The sequence below is a fragment of the Homo sapiens genome, chromosome 8, assembly GCF_000001405.40.
Source record: "Homo sapiens chromosome 8, GRCh38.p14 Primary Assembly".
Classification (NCBI taxonomy): Eukaryota; Metazoa; Chordata; class Mammalia; order Primates; family Hominidae; genus Homo; species Homo sapiens.
In genome coordinates this window covers 41,255,167-41,275,433 of record NC_000008.11, presented here as the reverse complement: position 1 = coordinate 41,275,433, position 20,267 = coordinate 41,255,167, and the positions used below count along the sequence as shown (strand labels likewise).

Genomic DNA, 20,267 nt, shown 5'->3' with positions numbered 1-20,267 from the left:
CCTCTGAAAAAGAAAGCAATTTAGGGAAAAAGCAAGTCTCTTAGGAATCAGAGTGTGTGGTCTGGTATCTGTCTCTGGGTGATTTTTTTTTTTTTTTTTTTAACAGCACCTTTTGGAAAAAATGGATCCAACTGCTTGCCCCGTCATCCCAGATGGCTAGGCCCCCATTCATCCCCTCTCGCTCTCCTACTGGAGGAACTGCTGTATGAATCATAAAGCTCTGGGTAGGGAAGCAGGGAGCAGGTTCCAGGCAGAGCTGACAAGTGACTTCACTTTTGAGCATCGGTTGAACCAGATTTAACGTCTCTTCCAGTTCTAAGTAAATAATTTGCATTCTAACCCAATTGATTTTGTTATCTGAAAAATGATGGGGATTGACTAAATCAGTGGACTGCCTCCCTCCTCCTCCTCAAAAAAGAAAAAAAAAGGAAACAACAAAAAGCTGGTTGAGAAAGCAGAATTCTTAATCAAAACCCTTAAGAAGTCCTAACTATATGGCCAAGTTGCTCCAGCTGAATGGAGGGTGAAGGGTCTGGAGATGTGAAATCTCTGTATTTCCTTCATGATCTGACATTTTGTGGTTCATTTATATTTTATATACACTGACATTCTTTATTAGACTAAGTTTTTTAAATTTTAAATTTTTGATTCAACGTAAATATAGTTTAAAAAGTTAAATTGGAATGAATGGTTTTTAACAAAAACTGCATGCAGTTCCCTTCCCACCTCTAGTTCCTATGACCTAGAAGTAATAATTTTCAAGTATTTTAGTGATTTCTTCATATTCAGCAAACTGGAGCAAATAAATAACATGGTTATAATTGGATTTCTTATTTTTAATATTTAGATGTTCTTTATTGATTTTCTGTTATTGAAGTTAAAGATTTATCTCTCTTGCACTGTCTTTCCAGTACAGGTATATCACATTTTTGGTTAATATTCAGTGTTTAATTTATTATAATTATGTAAATATTATTTGCAGCTGAGCCATGTAGTGTACTGCATATTTATTTCCTTTCTTTTACATCATTTTGTTTTTCCTGGAGATAGTAACTGCCCCATTTTATTAACCCAGTTACTTATGTTCATATTATGAATTCAGCCCCAAGCTTTCTGGCAGATATGCATCAGGAAATCTGCCTGAGTTCTCTTTCCTACCATTGGTCTGGGCTGATGGAGCTTTAGGCTTTTTTGTTAGACAGGGTTCTTCAGAGAAACAGAAACAACAGGAGATGGGAGAGGGAGTTAATTAGGGGCATTGGTTCACAGGATTGGAGAAGTCTCACGATAGGCTGTCTGCAAGCTGGAGAACCAGAGAAGCCTTGGAACAATGCAGCCCCCAGTCTGAGGCTGAAAGCCTGAAAGCCCCCAGGAGGCCACTGGTGCAAGCCCCAAAGTCCCAGAGCCGAAAAACATGGAGTCTGATGTGCAAGGGCAGGAGAAGAGAAACAGCCATTATTGGGAAGGGAGGGAGAGCAGAAACTCCACAAGCTGAATACCTGCCTTCTTCTCCTTGCTTTATTCTGACTGCCCTCGCAGCTGATTGGGTGGTGCCAGCCCACATTGAGGTCTGACTCTTCCTCTCCCAGCCCACTGACTCACATGTCAGTCTCCTCTGAAACACCCTCTTGGACACACACACGTTTCCAGCCTTCTCAGCATCCCTCAATCCAAGCTGACACCTAAAATTAACCATCACAGCCTGCCACACAGTTGTTCGGGAAAAACCATCCTAAGCCTTCCTTTTCCTTTCTTAGGTTAGACCTTTGGTTTCCTGAATCCCGTGTCTTGTTTAATTCTGCATTTTTTTAAATAGGTAAGTGAGATGATGTACATGCTAATTAGCTTGATTTAATCATTCCTTCTCTTATACAAAACATCACATTGTAACCCATAAGTTTATACAATTATTACTTTTCAATCAAAAATAACATTAATAATGCCTTTTTTTTTTGAGACAGAGGCCCAGGCTGGAGTGCAGTGGCATGATCTCGGCTCACTGCAGCCTCTGCCTCCCGAGTTCAAGCAATTCTCCTGCCTCAGCCCTCCTGAGTAGATCGGCCCACAGGTGCGCATCACTATGCCTGGCTAAGTGTTTGTATTTTTAGTAGAGACAGAGTTTTGCCATGTTGCCTAGGCTGGTCTCGAACTCCTGAGCCCAGGCAATCTGCCTACCTCTGCCTCCCAAAGTGCTAGGATTACAGGTGTGAGCCACTGTGCCTGGCTGATAATACATTTTATAAATTAAAAAAATTCTGCATTTTTGTAGAGCACATCATTGAGTAGTTTCCTAAGAAAAGATACATGGGAGATGATGTTTTAAAACCTGTTAATGCCTGAAGATGTTTTCATTCTACTCTTGCATGCTGATTGATAGCTTGCCTCAGTATCAAATTTGGCAATTTTAAAGGCATTGATTCATTATCCTCCAGTTTCCAGTGTCTGTATTGATAAATCCAGTGCAACTGGGATACTGATCCTTTGTATTAGATGTCTACCCTTTTCTCTTGAAGATTTTAAAAGTTCTTTTTGTCTTTCATATTTGTAAATGTCATGATTCTTTGAGCTGGGTGTTGTTTAACCTGAGGACTCATGTTCTTCATTTCTGGAAAGTTTTCTTGTATTATTTCTTTGGTATTTTCTGCCGTTTGTTTTCTTGTTCTCTCTTGCTATAATACCCTTTTCTCAGATGTTGAAACTCTTGGATTGATTCTCTTTTTCTTTCCTCTGTTTCCCATCTGTTTGTCATTTTGTTCATCTTTTCATGAAATTTCTTCAACCTTATCTTTTAAAAAAAATTTAAAAAATATTCTTGAAAAAATTTTTTGAGACAGTCTGGCTCTGTCACCTAGGCTGGAGTGCAGTGGTGTAATCTCAGCTCACTGCAACCTCTGCCTCCTGAGTTCAAGCAATTCTCCTACCTCACCCTCCCAATTAGCAGGAATTATAGGCACATGCCACCACACAGGCTAATTTTTGTATTTTCAGTAGAGACGGGGTTTCGCCACGTTGGCCAGGCTGGTCGGGTCTTGGACTCTTGGCCCCAAGTGATCCACCTGCCTTGGCCTCCCAAAGTGCTGGGATTACAGGCGTGAGCCACCGTGCCTGGCCTCTTTAACCTTATCTTAAAACCATTATTTATTGATTTTCTGTTATTGAAGTTAAAGATTTATCTCTTTTACACTATCTTTCCAATATAATTACATCACACTTTTGGTTAATATTGAATGTTTAATTTATTAGAATTATGTAAATATTATTTGCAGCTGAGCCATGTAGTGTACTGCATATTTATTTCCTTTCTTTCACATCTTTTTACTTGTCTTGCATTTTATATTTCTTCTCTTATATTTTAAATTTCCAAGTAATCTTTCCCAGTCTCTGAACATTCCTTTTAATAGCTTTCTGTTCTTGTTTTAGGAATACAAAAGTCTTATCTAATTTATTATCATTTAAAACAATTTTTTTTGAGGCAGGGTCTCACTCTGTCACCCAGGCTGGAGCGCAGGGGTGCAGTCATAGCTCACTGCAGCCTCAATCTCCCCAGACTCAGCTGATCTTCTCATCTCAGCTTCCTGAGTAGCTGGGACTACAGGCATGCACCACCATGCCTGGCTAATTTTTTTTTTTTGGTAGAGATGGGGTCTCACTATATTGCCCAGGCTGGTCTCTAACTCTTGGGTTCAAGTGATCTGCTTGCCTCAGCCTCCCAAAGTGCTGAGATTACAGGTGCGGGCCACCACTCCTGGCCATATTATCATTTTTTAAAGTTTTTTTTTTAAAATTTTATTTTATGTACAGAGAGCTAGCATGGTTTCTTTCACTTGGTGGATGCCTTGGATAATCCATTCAGGGAAGCTCACTTAGTCTAACCTAATGAAGCCTACCTCCTCTGCATACTGATGGAAACACTGGCAGCACATATTGAGGCCATAATGACAAGAATGAGAACCCTGGCCGAATTTTTTTGGATGGCTCCAGGAGAGCTGCTGGTGACCCATCTTGCTTTTAGGAGTGCAACAAGGCAAAAAGTGAAAAGTTTTTTTTTTTAATACTCCCTGCATTGTCTCTGTTATCTCTGAATTCCTTTTCTTCCTTTTCTGTTTTGTATGTTACAGTCTCTGCCATTCACATTTGGAGGCTTTCCTTAAATACTTGCCAGCCCTTGACTGTCCATTTGAATTTAACAGCGAGACATGACGTTGGAAGCTCTTTGTGTACATGCAGGGCCTGTGATTTGTTAGGCCTCACTTGAGAATTTTGCAGAGGGCCCATATGTCTTTTCTTTTGAACTATTCTTAGGTTGATGCAGAAGTAACTACGGTTTTTGCAGTTGAAAGTAATGGCAAAGACCGTGACTACTTTTGCAACAGCCTAATAGTTTCTTTAGAGAAAAACCACTCAATCCTCTGACACAGGCATATAAATGTAGTGTTCTAAGACCCGAGTGTCTCATTCTTCACTTTGCAGACTTTCATGTAACCCTTTGGTGTTCACGCAGCAGCACCTGTCCGGTCCTCCTCTGTGTCTAGTATACCCCAGCGGCAGGCTGTGTGCAGGTTCAGGCCTTCTTTTTTTCCCCCTTTTCTTTTCTTTTTCTTTTTTTTTTTTTGAGATGGAGTCTTGCTCTGTCACCCAGGCTGGAGTGCAGTGTGCGCTCTCGGCTCACTGCAATCTCCACCTCCCGGGTTCAAGCGATTCTCCTACCTCCAGCCTCCCAAGTAGCTGGAACTACAGGCCTTCTGTATGGAATGAAGCCCATGGCTACTGCTGGAGTTGGTGAGGGCAGCCACCTGGACTCATGGCCCAGGGGAGTAGGTTTGAGTGTCCATATGTAAACTTGCTGCCAATCCCAACATTGACAGCCTCTGTGATGGAGTTCAGGAGTGTCCGGGGGCCCCAATCAGGAGCATTTGTGGGACCTGGAGTGCAAATGGGCTTGTTTTTTACTGGCATCCCTGTCTGTCCCTCTTTTTCTTCTTTTCTCTGCACTTTACTGGCATCCCTATCTGCATTTTAGCTTTTCTTCTCCCTTTTAAGCCAGATTCTACCATCCATTTGCTTTCTGTCATACAAAATGTTGATATGTTCTTTTTTCCTTTACCACTTTCTTGCATGTGTTTATAACTTGTTTTTTTGACTCTAATTTTAAACTGACTTCAAGAAGAGTGGGAATGATTGCACGGGCTCAGTCTAATCCATGTGGCTAGCGTGCCTGCAAGTGCTCCTTCGCACTCAGTCCAGAAGCTTGGTGATATGGCTTCTCTCTTCTTTTCCCTTCCCATTGGATTTTTGCTCTCTGGAATTTGCCCTCACCACTCCAGATCCTGGCCTCCTATGGGTTGGCGTGGCCCCCTAATCACCCAGTGAAGTGCTCTAGTTTCAGACTCATTCTTAAGCTCTTCGGCACTTAGGGTTGAGGGGTGTTTCCTCCATTTAAATGGACCCTGTGGTCTTCATTGACACTGGGCTGCCTGGTTTCCCAGCGGGGCCTCCCGTGGCATTTACAGTAACTCTTCTTCCTTTCACCTGACGAAGGCGCTCTCTAGTATGTCCCTCTTTCCCTCTGTACTTTACCCTTCATTGCTACTATCATCTGCCATCAGAGGAGTTATAAGATTGATTCCTAATGCAACCCCATGCCACCTTTCCCCACAGACCCTTCCTGGATTCCTACAGCCATTCCACAGGACTGGTTATGAAATGACTGGCTCTGGGCCAATGGTTGCCTTACGTTCAAAGTCATGGGTAGGATGTCTCGGGCTTGGGAGGGTTGGAGGCACCACTCATAGAAGCAGGGAGTCAGGAGGAAGAGACGGCTTTGAAGAATGTGAGGGTTTGGGATGGTGTGTGATGACTTCCTCATTCTCATTTCAGCTTCCCAAATAAGGCCAGGCTTCTTGAGGGAGGCTACCAAGGAAGTATAATTTGTGAGCAAAAATGGTTTGGGTGACTGCAAGTAGAATGAAAGCTTAATGGCCTACTCAAATATAATGGATTATTTTAAGATTTCCCGAGAAAGACCCAGGCAGGCCCTTGTTGCAGCCTCAAATTTTGAGTTTTCAAAGTTTCTGGGTCTCTGAATTCTTGCTGGCAGCTATGCCTAGGTGGGAGTCATGTCCTACCCTTGGAGGATGTTAAAATTGTTGCTTAAGAAAAAAAACACATAATTTTTAAAATTTTTTTGTTTGGTTTTAGATTAGGGTCTAGCTGTTACAGGGAGCTGAGATCCAGGGTCCAAGGTGGTAGTTTAGTTTTAGCCCTATGCTCCAGGCACAGCAGGGTGCCCAATCAGGGAAGCATGGAGTGAGCACAGGGTGGGGATAGTGCTGGAGATAAACTTTGCTGTCTCCCAGAAGTACCCAGCAGGGGCTCCTCAGATGGTCGATCCACCAGGCCTGCAGTCGGATGGTGCCCTGCACTTTACAGACAGAGTACTGAGACTCAGAGAAGAACCCAGGACCTGGGACTGTATCCAGCTGTTGCCCCAGCTGCTACCTTCTGGGCTTCTGTTTGTTCACCACCACCATTTGCATTGCAAATTCAGGCCATGGGCAACATCGCTGGGGCCCAGGCCCTGTGAGCATGATGGGATGGGGTGGTGGTGATCAGTTCCGGGCTGCTCTTGGGCCAGCACCTGCCCTCGCCCCAGCAGCCCCGGGATGCATCATGGTGGGGTCTGCACACACACCCACAAGGAAAAATCCACCCGGGACAGCTCATGATCTTTTCAACATTGTTGGTAGTCTGCACTCCTAAAACAAACCCTTGAAAGATGGAAAGATGTTAGTAATTTCTGGCCATACGTGCCTTCTTTCCTGCTCTCCCCACCTCAAAAAAAGAAAGGGGCCAAGTGGCAAGACAAGAAGTAAAGTCTAATGTGTAACACATTCCCATACTCTGATTTCTCCTCCCTGGCTGCTCCCCCACCTACGTAAACTACATTCCTTTACACGGTCATGGCAAAGGAACATTAATTTTTGATTTGAATTGTGATTGAAAGCAACACAATCAGAAGAGTGAAATAGTTTCCAATGAAGCAATATCACTTCTAACCGGGTCGTGGTGTGTATGGCAGGAAAGAGTGGTTTTGGGGTTAGGTGTGGGTTCTGATCCTGATTCTGTCTCTTACAAACTGTGGCCTCATGCTGTTGTTACTTAACCTGAGTCCTTCTCCTTGATTATAATAAAGTACTATTGATGCCTTCTTAACATGGTTGCTGCGAGTATTAAACAAGGAGTCGTAGATAGACATATCCCATTCTCATCTGCAGAGCCCAGCATGTGGTGGGTACTACCTTACAATGGCTCACTTCTCTGCAGACAAGAGGGCGCTCGCCTTGTCAGCTGGAGTATGCATTAGTTTCTCCCATCTCTAATAAATAAAATAAATTAAAATATTAAATAATAAAGCTTTCACAAATGCAGTTTCTCCTTTGCCAGAGAAGTCTCTTTCAACCAGGAGGCACTCTTTTGCCATTTCATAAGTGAAGTCATTTTGAAATGTAGGTGAAACTGGGAAGAGGGTCTGAGCTCCTCCCTGTGATCTTCTTGGTCCATTTAATCAGTACTCCAAGTTTGGGGTCCATTCTAAAGAATTTTGGAACCATAGAGTCAGCATGGACAACATGCAGATTAAAAGTGCACATTTAGACATGGGTTTCAACTTAGGATTAGTGACTTTAGGCAAGCCAACTTAACCCCCTATGCCTCAGTTTTCTCATCTATTAGATGGGAAAATAATTATGCCTTCCTCCTGGAGTTGTTAGAATTAACTGAGGAAATGCACGGAAAATACTTAGCACATGTTCTGGCAGGTCACATGCTTTCATAATTGTTAGCCACTGTGATTTAGTTCAGGTTAAAGACTTTCCTCAGGGTGTGTGGGTGGAAGCCTTGCATCATTAAAAAGAGGGGGCTTGGTAATTTTCTATTAAAAAGAGTTCAGAAGATACGCAAATTATCTGGTGACTGGCACCTAGAAAGTGATTTCCAACTCCTTTGGGAATATCTCGGGCTGACCAGTCTTAAAGGGGAGTTGATTGTACCCGCGACACTGTGTGTTCAGTCTGCTTCGTTTATAGAGCATGTCCACGCTCATTTATCTTCATCAGCAGCCCCTGTGGAGTCATTGCTACAGGATGTGGCTCACAGGTTAACACTGTTAATTCAGTGTCCATTGGGACAGAGAAAAGAGAAAGCAGAGTTGGTGAATGGGCTGATTTTCCCACACTCCTGGGAGTTGAGAACAGAAGCAGCCCTGGTACCATATTGGATTTGAAGAGAGCTCATCACCTGGATTTATCAATTAGGACTTCACCAGAACTTGCTCTAATCTGCCAGAAAGTCAAAGTAGATTTGGATTTTGTGTAGGTCTTCTCAGTTGGCAGAACATTAGTGCTGCCTGTCAGTGGGGATTAGTGGTTGATTAGCGATTGACTGATACTAGCAGTACCTGCTGTCTTACCGCCATAGAGACCCAGTAGTAGAAACTGATTTCTCCCATGCTGTGGTTGGACGTTGATGTTTAATGCAGGAAGCATGACCATTTGAAACAACCTTTAACTTTCCCTTGCTGAGTGCACACACATAGTTCTGCCTGTCATTTTATAGGACTCAATTTTCAAGGAATTGTAGGTCTTTCAATGTTAAAATACTAAACCAATAACTTGCTCTTCAAAACAAAACCAAACAAAAAGAAACCCTCATGGTCAGGCGTGGTGACTCATGCCTGTAATCCCAACACTTTGGGAGGCTGAGGAGGGAGGATTTCTTGAGTCCAGGAGTTCTGGGCAACATAGTAAGATCCGTCTCTTAAAAAAAAAAAAAAATCAGCCAGGCATGATGGTGCATGCCTGCAATCCCAGGTACTTGGGAGGCTGAGGTGGGAGAATTGCTTGAGCCCGGGAGTTTGAGGCTGCAGTGAGCCGAGATCGAGACACTGCACTCCAGCCTGGGCAATAGAGTGAGACCCTGCCTCCACAAAGACAACAATAAAAAACAAAAACACTCAGGATTTTTTGTCTTTGAATGATGAGATCAATAGCATCAGATCATGTGGAGTAAATTGGGTTATAGGACCCTTTTTTCTCTTAAAGCAGTGCATGATAACTGGATTTTTAAAAAGAGCAATGTGATTTAGCTTTGAAATTTATTTGAGGATCTCCTGGCACCGATGGCCATTACAGAGAGATACCACTGGACACCACAGAATAGGGGGCGGAGGCGGTGGCAGAATGGGTAACTGAGACCTTGATTTTTTTTTTTTGAGATGGAGTCTTGCTCTGTCGCTCAGGCTGGAGTGCAGTGGTGTGATCTTGGCTCACTGCAACCTCCGCCTCCCAGGTTCAAGCAATTCTCCTGCCTCAGCCTCCTTAGTAGCTGGGATTATGGGCGCCTGCCACCATGTGTGGCTAATTTTTGTATTTTTAGTAGAGATGGGGTTTCACCATGCTGGCCAGGCTGGTCTCGAACTCCTGACCTCAGAGGATCTACCCACTTTGGCCTCCCAAAGTGCTGGGATTAACAGACCTTGGTTTTTATGGATAAAACTGCCTGTTTCTTGACTTGTTACTTGCCTTTCATTTTCTTCTCCACCTCAGCTGTACACTTGGGTTATTGTTCTAGATGAAAAGCTTTGTTCCACAGTAAACACTGGAGATTCCAAAAGACATGAGGGAGGATGGCCGACACTGTAATTGCTGCTTGGGCGATGGGGTTATTAGAAGCCCAAACCTCAGCATCATGCAGTATACCCATGAAACCAACTCTGCACCTGTGCCCCTGAATCTAAAATTAAAAACATATATATTTACAAGAAGAAAGTATAAGCCAAAAAATAAAATAATAAAATGCAATCACTTTGAGGATCAAAAAAAGAAAAGCTGTGTTCTAAATGCTTTCTCTTACCCTCTTTTCTCTTCTTCTGTCCTCTCCATCTCTAGCACTGAGGATGAAAATAAAAGAAGTGAAAAAAGAAAATGGCGACAAGAAGATTGTCCCCAAGAAGAAGAAGCCCCTGAAGTTGGGGCCCATCAAGAAGAAGGACCTGAAGAAGCTTGTGCTGTACCTGAAGAATGGGGCTGACTGTCCCTGCCACCAGCTGGACAACCTCAGCCACCACTTCCTCATCATGGGCCGCAAGGTGAAGAGCCAGTACTTGCTGACGGCCATCCACAAGTGGGACAAGAAAAACAAGGAGTTCAAAAACTTCATGAAGAAAATGAAAAACCATGAGTGCCCCACCTTTCAGTCCGTGTTTAAGTGATTCTCCCGGGGGCAGGGTGGGGAGGGAGCCTCGGGTGGGGTGGGAGCGGGGGGGACAGTGCCCCGGGAACCCGGTGGGTCACACACACGCACTGCGCCTGTCAGTAGTGGACATTGTAATCCAGTCGGCTTGTTCTTGCAGCATTCCCGCTCCCTTCCCTCCATAGCCACGCTCCAAACCCCAGGGTAGCCATGGCCGGGTAAAGCAAGGGCCATTTAGATTAGGAAGGTTTTTAAGATCCGCAATGTGGAGCAGCAGCCACTGCACAGGAGGAGGTGACAAACCATTTCCAACAGCAACACAGCCACTAAAACACAAAAAGGGGGATTGGGCGGAAAGTGAGAGCCAGCAGCAAAAACTACATTTTGCAACTTGTTGGTGTGGATCTATTGGCTGATCTATGCCTTTCAACTAGAAAATTCTAATGATTGGCAAGTCACGTTGTTTTCAGGTCCAGAGTAGTTTCTTTCTGTCTGCTTTAAATGGAAACAGACTCATACCACACTTACAATTAAGGTCAAGCCCAGAAAGTGATAAGTGCAGGGAGGAAAAGTGCAAGTCCATTATGTAATAGTGACAGCAAAGGGACCAGGGGAGAGGCATTGCCTTCTCTGCCCACAGTCTTTCCGTGTGATTGTCTTTGAATCTGAATCAGCCAGTCTCAGATGCCCCAAAGTTTCGGTTCCTATGAGCCCGGGGCATGATCTGATCCCCAAGACATGTGGAGGGGCAGCCTGTGCCTGCCTTTGTGTCAGAAAAAGGAAACCACAGTGAGCCTGAGAGAGACGGCGATTTTCGGGCTGAGAAGGCAGTAGTTTTCAAAACACATAGTTAAAAAAGAAACAAATGAAAAAAATTTTAGAACAGTCCAGCAAATTGCTAGTCAGGGTGAATTGTGAAATTGGGTGAAGAGCTTAGGATTCTAATCTCATGTTTTTTCCTTTTCACATTTTTAAAAGAACAATGACAAACACCCACTTATTTTTCAAGGTTTTAAAACAGTCTACATTGAGCATTTGAAAGGTGTGCTAGAACAAGGTCTCCTGATCCGTCCGAGGCTGCTTCCCAGAGGAGCAGCTCTCCCCAGGCATTTGCCAAGGGAGGCGGATTTCCCTGGTAGTGTAGCTGTGTGGCTTTCCTTCCTGAAGAGTCCGTGGTTGCCCTAGAACCTAACACCCCCTAGCAAAACTCACAGAGCTTTCCGTTTTTTTCTTTCCTGTAAAGAAACATTTCCTTTGAACTTGATTGCCTATGGATCAAAGAAATTCAGAACAGCCTGCCTGTCCCCCCGCACTTTTTACATATATTTGTTTCATTTCTGCAGATGGAAAGTTGACATGGGTGGGGTGTCCCCATCCAGCGAGAGAGTTTCAAAAGCAAAACATCTCTGCAGTTTTTCCCAAGTACCCTGAGATACTTCCCAAAGCCCTTATGTTTAATCAGCGATGTATATAAGCCAGTTCACTTAGACAACTTTACCCTTCTTGTCCAATGTACAGGAAGTAGTTCTAAAAAAAATGCATATTAATTTCTTCCCCCAAAGCCGGATTCTTAATTCTCTGCAACACTTTGAGGACATTTATGATTGTCCCTCTGGGCCAATGCTTATACCCAGTGAGGATGCTGCAGTGAGGCTGTAAAGTGGCCCCCTGCGGCCCTAGCCTGACCCGGAGGAAAGGATGGTAGATTCTGTTAACTCTTGAAGACTCCAGTATGAAAATCAGCATGCCCGCCTAGTTACCTACCGGAGAGTTATCCTGATAAATTAACCTCTCACAGTTAGTGATCCTGTCCTTTTAACACCTTTTTTGTGGGGTTCTCTCTGACCTTTCATCGTAAAGTGCTGGGGACCTTAAGTGATTTGCCTGTAATTTTGGATGATTAAAAAATGTGTATATATATTAGCTAATTAGAAATATTCTACTTCTCTGTTGTCAAACTGAAATTCAGAGCAAGTTCCTGAGTGCGTGGATCTGGGTCTTAGTTCTGGTTGATTCACTCAAGAGTTCAGTGCTCATACGTATCTGCTCATTTTGACAAAGTGCCTCATGCAACCGGGCCCTCTCTCTGCGGCAGAGTCCTTAGTGGAGGGGTTTACCTGGAACATTAGTAGTTACCACAGAATACGGAAGAGCAGGTGACTGTGCTGTGCAGCTCTCTAAATGGGAATTCTCAGGTAGGAAGCAACAGCTTCAGAAAGAGCTCAAAATAAATTGGAAATGTGAATCGCAGCTGTGGGTTTTACCACCGTCTGTCTCAGAGTCCCAGGACCTTGAGTGTCATTAGTTACTTTATTGAAGGTTTTAGACCCATAGCAGCTTTGTCTCTGTCACATCAGCAATTTCAGAACCAAAAGGGAGGCTCTCTGTAGGCACAGAGCTGCACTATCACGAGCCTTTGTTTTTCTCCACAAAGTATCTAACAAAACCAATGTGCAGACTGATTGGCCTGGTCATTGGTCTCCGAGAGAGGAGGTTTGCCTGTGATTTCCTAATTATCGCTAGGGCCAAGGTGGGATTTGTAAAGCTTTACAATAATCATTCTGGATAGAGTCCTGGGAGGTCCTTGGCAGAACTCAGTTAAATCTTTGAAGAATATTTGTAGTTATCTTAGAAGATAGCATGGGAGGTGAGGATTCCAAAAACATTTTATTTTTAAAATATCCTGTGTAACACTTGGCTCTTGGTACCTGTGGGTTAGCATCAAGTTCTCCCCAGGGTAGAATTCAATCAGAGCTCCAGTTTGCATTTGGATGTGTAAATTACAGTAATCCCATTTCCCAAACCTAAAATCTGTTTTTCTCATCAGACTCTGAGTAACTGGTTGCTGTGTCATAACTTCATAGATGCAGGAGGCTCAGGTGATCTGTTTGAGGAGAGCACCCTAGGCAGCCTGCAGGGAATAACATACTGGCCGTTCTGACCTGTTGCCAGCAGATACACAGGACATGGATGAAATTCCCGTTTCCTCTAGTTTCTTCCTGTAGTACTCCTCTTTTAGATCCTAAGTCTCTTACAAAAGCTTTGAATACTGTGAAAATGTTTTACATTCCATTTCATTTGTGTTGTTTTTTTAACTGCATTTTACCAGATGTTTTGATGTTATCGCTTATGTTAATAGTAATTCCCGTACGTGTTCATTTTATTTTCATGCTTTTTCAGCCATGTATCAATATTCACTTGACTAAAATCACTCAATTAATCAATGATACTGTGAGCTGTGACTTTTTTTTCCCACTCAGTCATACACTTCTCACCCTTTCCGGTGAACCACATGTATCTTTCTCCTCTTGAGTTTCTTCAGTGATGCTTTCTGGTCCCAGTTCAACAGCTTGCAAATGGTAACTGGGTGTGGGTGGGCTGAAGGAGAACTTGGGAGGCACCACAGGCTACCCGTGGCCCCCACCCTCCCATTTACCATCTGCTCCTATAAATAACTTCCAGAAGTGTTTCTCCTGGTTGTGTGTGTTTCAGATCAGAGAGAAGGTTAAATGCTTGCTCTACAAGAATGTAGCTTTCGGCCCTGCCTGAATTTCTTTTCCATGTTTCTCATGGAAACATTCTCTTTCCCCTCCGGCTCAACTCAATGTTAGAATTACCAACTAGAATTGGAAAACTTGTCCTTATCTGGAGTCTTAGACACATAGGAGGCCTTGGAGAGGAACATATCCACTCTTTTAACGTAAGATGGGGATATAGCTGGGATTTCCCAACTAGTCTGGGACTCCCAGGTCACTCGCCTGGTTGGAATTAGAACCCAGGGCTCCTGCATCCCACTTGCGTAGGCGTGATGTCTGCGCTCCCTGCCGAGCTTCCCTTTGGACTCAGAGTGCTGCACCATACCCAGCCCAAGCTGTTTCATATTAGGTTATGTGCTTCTTGCCTCAGGAATTCTTCCATGTGACTTCTAATTCTGCAAGCAATTACAGTGACAACTTCAGTGGATGTAGTTCCCTGATCAGTAAGTCACCTCCAAACCGCAGACAACTGTCAGTTTTACCCAGAAGTGATAAAATATTCCCAGGTTACCCAAATCCACGCCCAAGCACAGAGACACAACTTTTTTTTTAAGGTGTGGTATGAGGACTTGTAAACATTCTATCAAAGTCATGCTGTAGTCCAGAAAGATTCTCACATGCTAATGTACCTGACTGGTAAAATAGTGAGATACTAGTCCAGCCAAGGAAAATGTCCATATTTCCTTTTAGCTCCCTGTGGTTAATAAGAAAGAAAATTTATTTAGGCTGGGTGGAGATGTCATTGCCACCCCCTACTGAAGCTCACCACCATGACCCACCATTTCCATTTTTTTTAAGTCTGCAAAAGGATGATGAAGTGTGTGCAAAGGTATCTCAGTTCCAGCTGCTGGAGTCACCGTGGTGGAGTTTGGGGTGCCCAAGGGTCAGGACTGCTTGACGCTTGTGCCTCAGAGATGCTGGCAGCACTTGGAACCACAGGCTTGTCCTCAAGCTGCATGGCACCTGCACCTCCTTAATGAAAAATTTCGGCACTTCCCTAGGCAGGAGGTATAAAAGACCAAGGGACACAGAGGTAGGCTGGTCTTAACTTCAAAGGCTGTCTCCCCTCCTTGGGTCCAGAAGTGCTAGCAATTCACTTTTGCTCCTGAGGGTGGGACATGGTACTAATCATCCAATAGCAATTGAAGGGCAGAGGGAGAATCGTTCTTAAATTTCAGCCTATGTGAGTATCACCAAGGGGAGCTTACTAATATGTGGGTCTTGGCTCCCACCCCCAGACATTCTGATTGGGAAAGTTTGGGAAGGTTGGCAAAGGGGCTCTAGAACCAAGGTGCTAGGTTTCTCTGATGCCAGCAGTTCACGGGATCTTACTTTGCAAAACATTCTCATAGGACCTGCGTGGCCCGGGGATGAGAGGCAGGAAGTTATTTTGTCATCTCCCTCTCCCCACATCCACACTTCATATTGCCGCAGTCCCTTCTGAAGCTCTGTGAGTTCATCTTACCCGGCATCAGCTAATAGAGGCAAGTTAAATGCAAGGGGGAACGAGCCCTCTTTCCTTAAGACTGAGTACATTTGGCTGTCCAAGGAGTGTTTCTCACATTTTAATATGTATATGACTCACTTGAGGACCAGTGTTAAAATGCCGATTCTGAAGGGTAGGTCTGAGGTGGGCTTGAATTCTGCATTTCTTTTCTTTTTTTTCCTCATATTTTTCCAGTTTTATTTGTATAAAGACATACATGGCCTATCCAATGGAGCTTTGTCAAATAATCCATAAGTACCTAAAGCACACATGACTCGTAATGCTTTTAATATCAAAAGAGGTTATTTTTCTTAATCCAAAGATTATATAATTTTTTTTGCAAACTACTAGTGGGCCATATTAACATTTGAATAATCTTTTAAAAATTTAAATATAAATTTTGGATTTGGGGGCACATGTGCAGCTTTGTTACAAGGGTATATTGTATGATGCTGAGGTTTGGGCTTCTATTGACTCTATTACTCAGATAGTGAACATAGTACCCAATAGGAAATTTCCCAATTCTTGCCCCCACCCCTTCCTCCTTTTGGAGTCCCCAGAATTGATTCTGTCTATCTTGATGTCCATGTGGACCCATTGTTTAGCTCCCACTTATTAGTAAGAACATGTGGCATTTGGATGTGACTGCAAAGCACAGGATTTTGTTATTTTTTATGGCTGCGTAGTATTCCATAGTGTATGTGTACCACGTTTCCTTGGGTACCCGGGTGAGGCTGAAGCTGTGAAGCTGTCAGTGTGCAGAATGTACTTTGGGTAGGGAAGCTCTAACAGGCTGATGGTTTCAGGTGCGTCCTCACCCCCTGTTACAGTATCACCATCTCTATGATCAGCACAGCCCATCTCCTAAGGACTCAAAATATTGACCACGCTTTGGAATGGGAAGAAAATCAAACCAGAGAGTCATGCTTATAAACCCAAAGCTGGGGCTGATCTTCTCAACCCACTCATTAGATTTCATTCTTGTCCTAGACCTTAGGGTTAATTCTTTTCCCTCAGACCCTGCTCATTATGGAAACTCACAGGTTCCTTCCTATTTTTCCCATCTATTAACATTATGGACTGTGCCCTTTACCAAACTTCCCAGTCCTCAGCCCCCATCCCCAGACCCACCAGGGGTTGATGGTGTTAACCAACTGGTGGTATGTACCTGGACAACTAAAGTTACATAGGAATCTGACAACAAAATTGGGACTTTCCCTGTTCCATTTGCTCATGTCTGGGCAGTTTCAACCTCAGGTTATGGGAGGAGCCAAGAAAGAGAGGGGAAATTGAAGTCTTTGGAGGGAAAATCCCACCCCTGATACATTGAGGACAGCCTGTCCCCTGAGCTGACTTACTAGGGGAGCAGGCAGTAGGGATTGCTGTCAGCAAGGTCTAAGGGAGGCCACTTGTTGTAGGTTTGGAGAAGATGGGCACCAGAACAAGCTCCGAATAGGAGCAGAAAGCGCCTGCATCTTCATGCATCTGCAGACTATTTAGATAAGAAGGGGCTGTACCCAATCATGGAGAGTTGTTTGCTTAAATAAAGGAAGGGAAAGCTGCATGTGTGTGTGCTTAAGGGGAGAAGGAGGGGGTGGGAAGAAGGAGAAAGGGGCCAGGAATTTTCCACAGCTGAAACCCACCACGTGGTTATCATTAGGATGACCTTCCTATCACCTGAGCAAAAGGACTGGTGGATGGGGGCTGGTGAGGAAGGATTTGGGATCCGATCCCTCGGATTTCAGCTAAGTTCTGATGTGGCAGTTGCAAGCACTAAGGAGAAGTTCTTATTTCCCGCTTCCCTGGAGTGCCTGAGTCCACAGTCCTAAAGCTGTGTACCCTCAGGAAGCCTGCCCATTGGCTGGCCAGGTAGGATCCAGGGATCCAGCTTCTCTGAGATCCCCGGGTGTCAGGGCTTAAATATAAATAAAGCAATCAGAACCCACAGTTTGTTGGCATGGATGCAGTGAAAAGGGAATGCTTATACACTGTTGATGGGAATGAAAGTTAGTATAACCTCTACGGAAAACAATATGGAGATTTCTCAAATAACTAAGAATAGAGCTACCATTCGATCTATCAGTCGTACTGCTGGGTATCTACCTAAAGGAAAAAAGTCATTATATCAAAAAACACCTACACCTGTATGTTTATTACAGCACAATTCACAGTTGCAAAGATGTGGAATCAACCTAAGTACCCATCATCCAATGAGTGAATATAGGAAATGTGGTATACATACACCATGGAATACTACTCAGCCATAAAAAATGAAATAATGTATTTTGCAGCAACTTGCGTGGAGCTAGAGGCCACTATCCTAAGTGAAGTAACTCAGGACTGGAAAACCAAATACTGGCATATTCTCACTTATAAGTGGAAGCTATGCTGTGGGTACACAGGTCCACCAGAGTGGTATAATGGACACTGGAGACTCAGAAGATCAGAGGGTGGGAGTGGGGTGAGGAATGAGAAATTACCTATTGGGTACAGTGTACACTGTTTGGGTGATGGTTACACTAAAAGCCCAGACTTCACTATATAATTCATCCATGTAACCAAAAACAATCTGTACCCCCTAAATCTATTGAAATGGAAAAAAAAAAAACCCAGAACTGCACAATAAATTTCCTTCCAAGGAAGGGAATTAGAAAGAAAACAGGAGATTCTGCTAAAATGCTTTGCACAAGATCCCCATCTCTACTGCACTTTTTATTTTATTTTAGTTTTATTTATTTATTTTGAGACAGGGTTTTGCTCTGCTGCCCATGCTGGAGTTCAGTGGTGTGATCTTGGCTTACTGCAGCCTTAACCTTCCAGGCTCAGACAATCCTTCCACCTCAGCCTTCTGATTAACTGGTACTACAGGCATAAGCCACCAAGCCATGCTAATTTTTAAATTTTTTTGTAGAGACAAGTCTCACTATGTTGCTCAGGCCGGTCTTGAACTCCTGGGTTCAAGCAATCCTCCTGCCTCCACCTCCCAAACTGCTGGGATTACAGGCATGAGCCACCGTGCTCAGCCATCTATTGCACTTTTTAATGATTTACACTAGCATCTGCTGTTATTGTTTGTACTTGGGAATGGATTGAGGGTGGAAGGGTGGTTTAGGGGCCTCAGTTTCCATTTTTGCTGCATAGTTCTCTGGGGGGCTTATGCAGATCTGGGTAATCTTGCCCCATCAACTAGATGAGTAGGCCCATCATCTGAAGGAATAAAGAGATCACATGCCACAACCCAACCCACAATCTAAGTGCATATTTCACAATGTGGCCCAAGGACAACCAGGGTGGGTTCCACAGATTTAGCTGGATTCCTCTGGGGTCAGTGCTCCCTCCCAAGGCCAGCAGCTGTGGCCATAGGAATCCAAACTTGGCTGCTAGTCTTGGCAGGTTGCTCAATGACTCTTAGCCGCACAAATCAGGCCCCGAGCTGGGCCAGGCTTGAGGGAGGCCCCAAGGCCCCTACAGAAGAGGAGGAGCAGGAGGCAGCCAGTAATTGCCTAGAGAAAAAAATAAGTACCAGCCTGTAAATTGCAATGTATATCAGCGTGAAGCCTTGCTAGCTCTGCTCCCCACTTGCCAACCACTGCCACGCAGAAACTCCCTGCATCCTCTCCAGACTTCCCCAGGCTGCCGCCTTATTTTCAGATGCCTCCTCCCTGCAGTGCCAGAATTGACAGCTATGAATGAGAAACACAGGCTGGAGCTGGATAAGGAAGGCATCCCATAATGGAGACTGAGTAGATGTGCATGAGACCCAGAGGACTGATTTTCACTCAACCGATGGAAGGAAATAATTTACCTTTCGAACCCTAGAATGAGCTTCACTGTTCTGTGGATCTTGATGAAGAAAACAAGGAAAGCTGGTATGTCCTGGTACGTTTGGCTCCCTGCAAAATATTTCTTTCCTAGGCCCTCTTCATTAGAAACCTGCCTCTGCCCTGAGTTGGAGAAGACAGGCCTTTTCCCCTGCCGTGCACATTTTCCCACAGTCCTGAGACTGAACCTATAGCAGGGCCAGAGAAAATCCTCTCCAGTTTTCTCACTGTTTCCTCCCTGCCTGGTGGATGGAAACCAGTTTGCTCAGGAGAAGTGGTTTCTACCGCAGGGATAAGAGATCCAGCCTCTAAGACAAGTCAAATAAAATTCATGTGTTACACACACACAGACACACAGACACACACACACACACACACACACAGTCACACAGTTGCCCAGGGAGAGGGTCGCAGCTCTGCACCAGGAGGACAATTTGTTTTAAGGTGCATGCTGCCCTGGCTCTCAATTTGTTGCTTTCATTTTTATAATCACTGTTGTGTTCCAATTGTTGTAAGTGGCACTGGGAATGTTTGTTCTCATGTAATTGCTTGTTTCCTACTGAAATTTCCATGTCAGACCCCTTCATTGTTCTCAGTATCGCTCGCCTCCCATTCTGTGGGGTTGGCATGGATTATCCTAGTGGCGGCCGGCAGGGCATGTGAGCACCATTCCGCTCAGTCCTGACGCAGCTGAGGACGGCTGGGGGAAATGGTCCCGGCTGCTGGGCCGAACACTGGGATGAGAGAATCTTGACAAGGGCCTGGCCTGCCTCCTGATTCTGGACTGGGCCAAATTCGGAGTGCATTTTGCATCCCCACCCCCAAGTATTTCAGAGGAAATGTGACCCTGTGTTTCTGATTCATGTGCACTTAACTCGTTAAAATGTTGATTTACAAAGGGTGGGTGGTGTCCAAATAAACCTCTGGAGCCTCAATTCCAAGCCAGCCTTTTTTTTTTTCGGTGACTTTTTGTTGGGAGGGTAGGTGGGAAGAAGGAATCAAAGATTTTGTCTTTGATCGGGAAGTTACATTCCAACAGGAATGAAACTTGGACCCAGCAGGCAGGAACAGGGACCCAGACCTTTGCAATTGATTGGGTTCTCTATTGGATGAGTTATGTGCTTCCAGACCTAATCAGAACCACCTGGACTTCCTCAAGGCTCATCACTGTCCATG

General features: G+C 44.3%; 1 protein-coding gene, 1 non-coding gene and 1 pseudogene across 2 annotated transcripts in view, besides 1 other annotated feature; 2 read left to right on the top strand and 1 right to left on the bottom strand.

Moving 5' to 3' along the window:
- SFRP1 (secreted frizzled related protein 1) overlaps positions 1–13,472 on the top strand; it is a 47,512-nt gene extending 34,040 nt beyond the window's left edge. The window contains exon 3 of the mRNA NM_003012.5: positions 9,945–13,472. Within this exon, the coding sequence (NP_003003.3) occupies positions 9,945–10,267 (323 nt within the window). The 3' untranslated portion in view covers positions 10,268–13,472. The remainder of the gene's footprint in view (positions 1–9,944) is intronic.
- RPS29P2 (ribosomal protein S29 pseudogene 2) lies at positions 3,775–4,030 on the bottom strand (annotated as a pseudogene).
- MIR548AO (microRNA 548ao) lies at positions 4,291–4,386 on the top strand. Its single transcript, NR_049801.1, has one exon. It is a non-coding gene; the product is annotated as a microRNA 548ao (primary transcript).
- Positions 16,438–16,497: an enhancer, noted in NCBI's record as "active region_27281". NCBI's record gives its function as "activates an Ori minimal core promoter by ATAC-STARR-seq in GM12878 lymphoblastoid cells {active_cell/tissue: GM12878}" and the evidence as "EXISTENCE:reporter gene assay evidence [ECO:0000049][PMID:35858748]".